The sequence below is a fragment of the Homo sapiens genome, chromosome X (genome assembly GCF_000001405.40).
Source record: "Homo sapiens chromosome X, GRCh38.p14 Primary Assembly".
NCBI classification, from domain to species: Eukaryota; Metazoa; Chordata; class Mammalia; order Primates; family Hominidae; genus Homo; species Homo sapiens.
The window spans coordinates 131,290,656-131,299,596 of NC_000023.11; the positions used below are offsets into that span (position 1 = coordinate 131,290,656).

The following is an 8,941-nucleotide window of genomic DNA, read 5'->3' on the forward strand; positions in this document are numbered from 1 at the left end:
CCAGCCTTTTATGTACATTTTCTACCTGCATAAAAGATTTCAAATTATCTAATGAAAAACACTTTAATTCAAGAACAAACTGTGTAAAAATAAAGTAACAGCTCTTTTACAGCCAAATTGATTATCATATCTTCATGCATCAGGTGATATCAATTGTGGCTTCCATTATAAACTATAGATTATTGTGTAATGAATAGAATAGGCATATGAATAAAAAGATGTGTTTCTGGGCAAGTTATTTAGCCTCCAAGCCTCAGTTTTCTTATTTGTAAAATGGGGATAATAATTGCACTTACTACAATGAAGGGTTTGGGGTAGGATTGAATGGAAACCTTCCTGTAAGCCACCACATAGCACCTAGGACACAGCAAGCAGCCATTGATTCAACACAAATGTTAAGTACTTTCTTTGTGTCAGGGATTGTTCTAGATGCTGACAGTTCAGAAAGGATGACAGTTTCTCTTCTTAAGGAGTTTGTAGTCTAAGGATAAATCATACTAGAGAAGAAGTAGGAGGCAGCCAGAGAAGGAGGAGCCTTGAGAATCAAAGAGGATTGCAATAGAAAAGATCATCAAGTAAGTCATGATAGTATGTGTTTGGATAATTGCAAGCACTTTGCTTGTACTGTGTGCCTAAACTAGGGAGCAGTAGCAGAGAAGGAGGGGAGGGTCAGAGTTCCCAAAACATTGAGAAGGCAACATTAGACAAACTTGATGGTTGTTTGGAAGACAACAGTAATAGTTATTATCTGTCAGGGTGAAAACATCCATGCCAATTTTCAAAACATTTACAGTATAGAAGAGCTTCAAGAAAGTGGAGCTTGAAGGATAGAGGTGAAGCACCAAGGTTCACAGGGTGTTGTGGGAAGCCTTTCTCCATAAGCGAGTCTAATGTAAGATGATGATATTTTTTAAACCTAACTCTGTTTTATATATCCCAAACAGGAGAAGCCCAGGGCAAACCTGATCCCTTCCCAGTGTTGTACTGATGTTGGCTAGCTCTGTATGGTTCAGGAGAACCCAATGTGCACATCTTATCTCATCCCAGCATTCAATGACATAATGGTAGTAGCTTGAAAGTGGCCATGGTCAGAGAATTTTCACCACAGTCAGGGAATTTTCACAACTGAAGAAGTAAATGCTACAAATCAAGTTTCTCCCAGCAACCTTCACATCTCTGGAGCTGTTTTTAAACATTTACTAGCAAACCACTTTTTTTCCAGTTTTATGTTTTAGGACAGTGATTTTTACTGGGAAACAGGAAGGTTTCCAAACTGCTCAAGGATCCTGTTAAGTTTCATACACTCTCAAGAAAGTTATGAGCACTGTGCTCCATTCCCCTGTCCCCAACCTCACTACTCTAGTAAGCCATCTGAGGACTGTGTCAGATCTCTGGAGAGGTCTGTGCATTCAAAGTTTGACTGTGTGTTTTAGCATCCCACCCCACTCCTCAGCCAGTCCCAGGCCCCATCCCTTTCTGCAATGGAGAAGCAATGTGGAGTATACCAGTGAGGAACTCAGCTGGGACTAAGCAAGTGGCGTTCTGGGGCAGGGAGGAGGTCCAACCAGACAGATTAGGTTCCAACGGCAAGACCTGATGAGGAGGGGGTTAGGCTTTGGAGGTGGGGAGGTCAAAGCTGCAAAGGAAAGCTGGGGCCAACTCACAGAGCTTGAATTTCAACTTATCTTTTGTCAAGCACTTTAATTATTAAGGGCAGAGTTTGGGGCACTAAGTCATTTCCAGAAGCTATAACTGAGGGCATTTTCAGGAGTGTGCAGGAAGCTTCCTAGAATAAACCAAATTCAAGTGATGAATTAGAACTAAAACTTATTTAATCAAAACACTCATAGTGGGGCATTAGACATTAGATAGAGGCCTGGATGATCAGGCTTCTGGGTGCTTGTCACAAAGCAAACCAACAATGTGAATACCTAGGTGATTTTAACAAGTTTAATGGGTGGAGGGAGAAAATGAGGATTTTTGTGTGTGTGTTTCAGTGTTAGCAGAATCACAAAGTTCTTTTTGGTTTATGTACCATTTACCAAAAAAGGTAATCTACTAGTCCACTGTCTCCAAATGACAATTCTCTTAGCATCACAATATGGCTTTTGTTTATACGAGGAACAGTGTGTATCTGAGTACATGGTGGGGGAGGGTGTTCAGAGACAGATATCCAAAATGCAGGAGAGCTCCGAAAGTGGGCTTCAAAGTGTTTCAGTATTCCCTTTTCCTGTGTTGGATGAAGTTGGTGGCTCCAGAATGAAAGGAGGTAGGCTCAGCCTCACTGCCTAGAGCAGGCAGGCACAGGTTCTATAAGCAGTTTAGGCCTGATCCAGGAAGGATGCTTCCAGATACCAGTGCCAGGAAAGCCTTTTTCTGTCTCAGAGTCTGACTTGCCCCCAGTGTGTCCAAATTGTAGGCATTTGCATGGTGGGGCAGGGGTGGGAATGGGTGTGTTGTGGTGGGGGGATGGGGGGGGAGGGGGGAATGCCGCTTGGGAAGGCACAACTGGTCTCTCTAATATTTATTTACTCGTAATCACTTGTCCAAAGGAAACTATAGAAGTCAATAATTTGGTTCTTTTATTCCTACGTATTGTATGATTAAACAATTATATGATTAAAATTAAGTAAAGATGGCTAAACTGCAAGAGCAACACAAATTAGCAATTTAAAAACTCATCATTGCAATATTACCAACTGTTTATAATCTGTTCCTAAAAACATCAGTTTACAGGCAATTATTTAAATATACATGCATCTCTTCCAATTCTACTTGTTTTGTGATCTAGGATATGGTCAGACTTTCTGAAAGATTCATGTACCCTTGACAGAAGATGAGGAAATACTTTCTCCATAAAAGTCTGTTAAGTTCATATAATTGATTGCTTTCAGGTAGACAATACAAATTATTTTTTTTCTTAATCTATCATATTTCAATGTCTCCCTATCCAACTCATGCTTAATTATTATCTTGCTGTTTTCATTTTCTCCCTCCCGTTTATCCCTCCTTCATTCTTTCCCATTTTCCTTTTTGAACTTTCCTTATCATCCTTTCCCATGCATTCTGTGTGTGTGTGTGTGTGTGTGTGTGTGTGTGTGTGTGTGTATAGCTATAGATATACACACATAATAACAACTTGGTACAACCGTAAATTTTTACTTCCTTTTCCGCTAATCACCCTGGCAAAAACGCAATTAATTATAAAAATAAGATCTACACTCTCTTAAGAAATGTGGCTTTGAAAGTGAATTTAGTCACTTATCTCCGCGAGTATCTTCTCCCTGGGCTGCAGCTGTTTTCAGCAAAACCAATAGTTTGGGAGTTTTACTGACAAATGCCTTGAAGTCATCTTGACTGCCAAAGATTTTCCTCTCATCTTGAAATAAGAAAGATAGCTTAGCTGAATGGTTCACATGGGGCTTCAAGCCCAGGAACTTCAACTAGTAGATTTTGCTTCAAATTGGTCTCTCATCCACTGTTACTAAGGTATACTCAGGTGTCAGTCCTATATTTATCTTGTTGAAAATCACTTCTTTTTTGAGCAGCTTCTGAGACAATTTCTTTATCTTTCAAGTTTAAGAATTGTACAATAATATGCTTTGGACTTTTAGTATGAGAGATACATTTGAGTGGGAACTTATAAATTTTCTCTGTATATAAGTCGAGATCTATGTTTAGCTCTGGGAAATTTTTATCAACAGTTTCCTTAATAATGGTTTCAAGGCTAATCTCTTTATTTTCTGCACCTTCAAGGATGCAAGATACATAAATATTGTACCACCTTGATGTGTTTTTGAGATCTATCATGTTTTCTTGCACCATGAAGAACTGTTTTCTTAGATGTTTTATCTTTTAAGACTGAAGCTCAATTTTGTCCTCATTTGTACTGATTCTCTCTTCCATGATATTTATTCAGCAATATTTCTTTCTTAGGGTTTCTTTCCATTCTTTGGCCTCACTAGTAGTGCCCCACAGTCTTTGCTGAGCTTTTTCTGTGTGCTTTTTAAAATGTCCACATGGTCTTGCATCAACGCCCTCACCTCGGCCCTTTGTCTGGGTTCTGCCTGCTGCTCCTCCAGGACAGCCATATCTCCTGAATTCTCTGGGCTTCCTGGTTCCTCCTCAGCATCACAGTACTTATTGGTTGCTACTAAACTTGTTTTTATCATTTTTCTCATTCTAGATCAGGTAGGTTTCATTTTCTTTTTGTGCTACTCTCATAGCTGAGGTTTCCATTGGCTTTGTCAGTGTTCCCAAAGCCCAGCAATTTGGTTCGGAGCACAGCTGCTCCTTCTATCCTCTCCCCGAGAAGCTCAGGAGCTGAGGTCTTTTTATTGAAATGCAAGACCTATTTTAAGCTGAAATCCTCAGAAATGCTATAGGAAATTAAGATATCATCAACTGATGTTCTCATCTAACAGGATTAGAAGTAAGAGCTTCATAACCTTACAGATAAGGTAAAGAAGTACATAAGTGCATAAATAAAAATAAACACACACATATAAATATGTAAGTGCACTAACTACCTGAATACATAAATATACAAACACACAAAAGTAATATAAATGAACACACAAGTGCATAGACATAGAAATAAATATGAACGTAAAATGAGTCTCATATGTTCATAATATTTAGCTTCTGCCTAGCTGAGAGTTCACAGAATATGTTTGTGATTAAGCAACGAAGTATATCAGAATTATAAAGCAGGGAATGAGAGGAGTTTACCTACATGTTTCAGTGTTTGTGGAAAGGGATTTTGACTTAGTGTCGGGGGTCGAATTTCAGTCCTGGCAGAGCCACTTACTAGCTGGGTAATAGTGTGACATTTGGCAAGCTACTGAAAGTTATTTGAGTCTCCATCTCCTCATCAGTCAAATGAGTATTCAATAACTGTGAGCTAAATCTGAATATAGAACTTTCTGTTTGCCTCATCCTAATCATTACTTTTTAAATATATCTTTTTACAGTGAATATCTGGGATTTTGATTGGTGGGAGTGGAAATAGGACTTGATAGGGAGGGGGAACCTGAAAAGGTCCCAAATGGATACCATCTCAGTTCCCAGATTCTTTTTGAACAATTAAAGAGTAAATATTCCATTTGACTATACCCAAAGTATTATAGAAAGATGGAAAAATACACTCTATCTTCAAGGTTATGAATTCGTGGGAGATATATTCATATTCACAGCTAAGGACGATATAATGCAGAACACAGTATGGAGCGTGAAACAAAGCATTGTCATAACATAGAGAGGAGAGCATTTAATTCCAATTTGCAGTGCTTAGAAGTTCTTCGTTCAAGTCCCCCAGACTCAAGCATCTCTATCATTGAGCATGGTGAGGTCACCTTTATGGCCTCCTGCTCCAAACCATCTGCTTCACCCACCTGATGTCTTCCTGGCATCCCACCATATGATTCACATCTTTGGGAATACAGAGCAAGGAATCACAAAGTATTGTAGTGCATGGTGTGTGGAGATAGTGGCAGAAAATGAGGTTGGAGACCTGGACAGGAGCCAGAGCATTACAAACCATGTGTGCCCTAATAGCACTTTTTAGTACAATTTCATATTTGTGCCAAATGAAAGGCCAGGTCATGATCTAGGTCCAAACAGAGGGCTTTTAACCAAGCAGAAAATGACCTTCTTTAGCTCCTAATGCTCTCCCTGATGTTAGTTATGCTATCCTGGGCACAGATCCTCAGGGACAGGACTCAGAGGCCACTTTCTGAGCTGACAGTCCACCTGTTCCTCTAATTCAGTCTCCTAGTAGTTCAGGTTTCTGTTTCAAAAGAAAACAAAAACTGGAGATGGGACAGTTTACAATTAGAGTCACATGTATTAGACACCCATGTTTGAAAGTGTTGACCCTTTTCAAAGCTCTAATAATTTTTAAATCAGGCTCTGTCTTAGACTTCAATGTATCCAAGCAGATAACGTTTAATGGGGTTTGTAGGAGAACATTTTAGAAGAGGAGATAGTGTGTAGGGAAAAGAAAATTGAAATTAGGTCTGGTAAATTCAAATGCAAAAGGTGATTTAATCTGATTCTCATCTGTGTTCTCAGAAATACTCAGAATTCGTATGGAAAATTAGTATAAGCACCTAATAGGATTAACCTAATAAAAATTAGAACAGGTGCTTGGTATTTCTACATTCAAAACAACCGAAAAATAGTCTTTAGTGCTTGGAGTGCTTAGGAACTGTGAGATCTTAGGAAAATGGGATTTATGTATTCCTGCATTTATTCAAAAATATTAATTGCACACCTACTTTGTTTTCTAGTTCTGGAGATATATCAACAAAGAAAACAGAAAAAAAAACCATATATCCATCTATAAATATTTGTCGTAGGTATCTGAGTAAATACATTTTCTAGTGTTTGAATATAAGGGGCTATTTTTATAACTCTACTGTTACTAAAGATACAGAACTGACTTTTGCTCCAAACTATAACAACAAAATTCTTGGATGTCATTTAGCAATGTCTGGGATTGGTTTGGGTGTAGATGACTCTAAAGAGATTTTTGAATGGCCCTATCCAATTTTCTTTCCCTTAAGCCATTTGTTCAGAATCAAATGAGAAAGTAAGGCAGGAATGGTAGAAGTGTAGAAGAAAGCCCTTAGCATGTTTAAAAGGGGGTAGAGGAAAAGGCCATTTGGCATTAAATATCCTTTTGATTAGCTATGTGACCTTTACCTACAGAAAATTTCTTCTTAGTGTTTTTAGCAAGATCTTCAGAAACTTAGGATGGCATAATCCAGTTGAGGAATTGCAGTGCCAAGGAAATCTACTCTACAATTGTTGTTAGGCACCATGATGTTAAAAATACATATTAACTAATGGAAATAGTGCTGGACACTAATTAAAGTATCCAAATGACTTTTCATTATTAATAACCCTGGATTTCAACAAGGAGCACTTGCTGTGGAAGTTCTGTGACTATCCTGGGCACAGTATGACAATATTTTAAAAATATGTACACCATGAAAGAATCCCACTTGAAATAGCTGTAAGATGGCACCAAAAAATTACCAAGTGGAACTTAGCATAGACTTAAAATGAGGTGGAAATTTATTCTTATGACTTCTATCTAAACTAAAAAGCAGTTTAAATTTTATATGCTTTGCAAAATATATGGCAGACTTAATACCATATGCTTTCTTGAATTTCAAATGGTTAACTCCAATACTCACTTATTTAGCCAACCTTTATTAAATGCCCATTATAAACAAGGAACACTTAAATATTTGGTGGAATAAGATGGGCAAAGAATGGATGGAAGAATGGATGAAAGAATGCAAAACGCTCTAGGCATACATTAGCAGCTAAAAGATTAACAAAATATTTTCACTGCCCTTCTAGTAACTAAAAGACTAGAAGAGGAGCAAAGACATGTAAGCAGATAAAAATAAAAATGTGCTAAAGTTTGATAAGAAAAGTGGAGAGAAAGTGGTCATGGAAGTTTAGCAAAGAGCAATATTCTCATCTGAGGGGATCAGCGAAAGCCTTGTGGGTAATGTCACATATGAACTGAAGTATGATTGGATTCATCTGGCAGCTGTAAATACTACATGGTTACTTCTCTGACAGTAGAGACTTATTCATCTGTGTATCTCCTGTGCCTAATACAGAAATAATGCTAATAATAGTTAGTACTTATGAAGTGCTCACTATTTGCAAGGCATCACGTTGAGCATCTTACAAACATTGTCACATTTTCTTTCACAACACTCTGGAGCAGTGCTTATAACAATAGCAGTAGCAGCAGCAGGGGCAGCAGCAGCCACAAGAGCAAACAATATTTGTTGAATGCTAACTATGAGCCAGGCACCAGTTTAAGAACTTCCTATAGCTATTAGCATCCATTTCTTACAGATGAGATAACTGAGGCTCAAAGAGGTTAAGCAACTTGCCCAAGATAATACAAGCTAGTCAGAGGTAGACCGGGGGCAGTGGCTCACGACTGTAATCCCAGCAGTTTGGGAGGCCGAAGCGGGAGAATTACTTCAGTCCAGGAGTTCAAGACCAGCTTGGGCAACATAGCGAAACCCCGTCTCTACAAAAAATACAAAAATGAGCCGGGCGTGGTGGCGTGTGTCTATAGTCCCAGCTACTCATGAGGCTGAGGTGGGAGGATGGCTTGAACCTGGGAGGTCAAGACTGCAGTGAGCCATGTTCACACCACTGCACGCCAGCGTGAGAGACAGAGCAAGACCCTGTCTCAAAAAAAAAAGAAAACATTAGTCAGAGGTGGAGCTGTAATTTGAGCCCAGGTCATCTGATTCTAAAACCCATGTTATTGTGGCTCAATACCTGTTGCTTAGAATAAGTAAATGAAAATGAAAAGAGGAAGAAAAAGAGATATTGTGAAGATAGAAACCATTGAATCTGCAAACTGTTGGGGGAGAAAGAGTAAGACCAAGAGCAAGACTGAAAGAGAGAGAGAGCGAGAAACTGTCACTGTATTTTCAGTCTAAGCTAAGAAATGTAAAGATTTTTCTCCTGTAAAAGACAAGCTCTCATATACTGGATTTTTAAAATTATTTTATAAAGTATTTGAGAAATGTTAAGATTTTTAAAAATATCTAGAGTAATATCCCGTAAAGGTTACCTAGAAAAAACTTCAAAGAAGACACACAAAATGTACATGTTGGTTATTTTCTATGTAGTGAAGAATTATTGGAGGTGCTCTTTTTTCTTCATCCCTGTATTTTATATTGCTACAACAAATAATTTATGATTAAAAAAACAAAATTTGAGAAGTTGGGTAACAATTTAGGGCAGAATTTTTAAATAATCAAAATTATTTGTTGTTAAGAAATACACAATAGGCCAGCACAGCGGCTCATGCCTGTAGTCTCAGCACTTTGGGAGGCTGAGGTGGGCAGATCTCTCAGGCCCAGGAGTTCAAGACCAGCCTGGCCAACATGGC

General features: G+C 38.4%; 1 annotated feature.

Annotated features, from left to right (window-relative positions):
- Positions 130-847: an enhancer, noted in NCBI's record as "OCT4-NANOG hESC enhancer chrX:130424759-130425476 (GRCh37/hg19 assembly coordinates)". NCBI's record gives its function as "activates a minimal SCP1, AML or CMV promoter by ChIP-STARR-seq in primed H9 embryonic stem cells {active_cell/tissue: H9 hESC(primed)}" and the evidence as "EXISTENCE:reporter gene assay evidence [ECO:0000049][PMID:30033119]".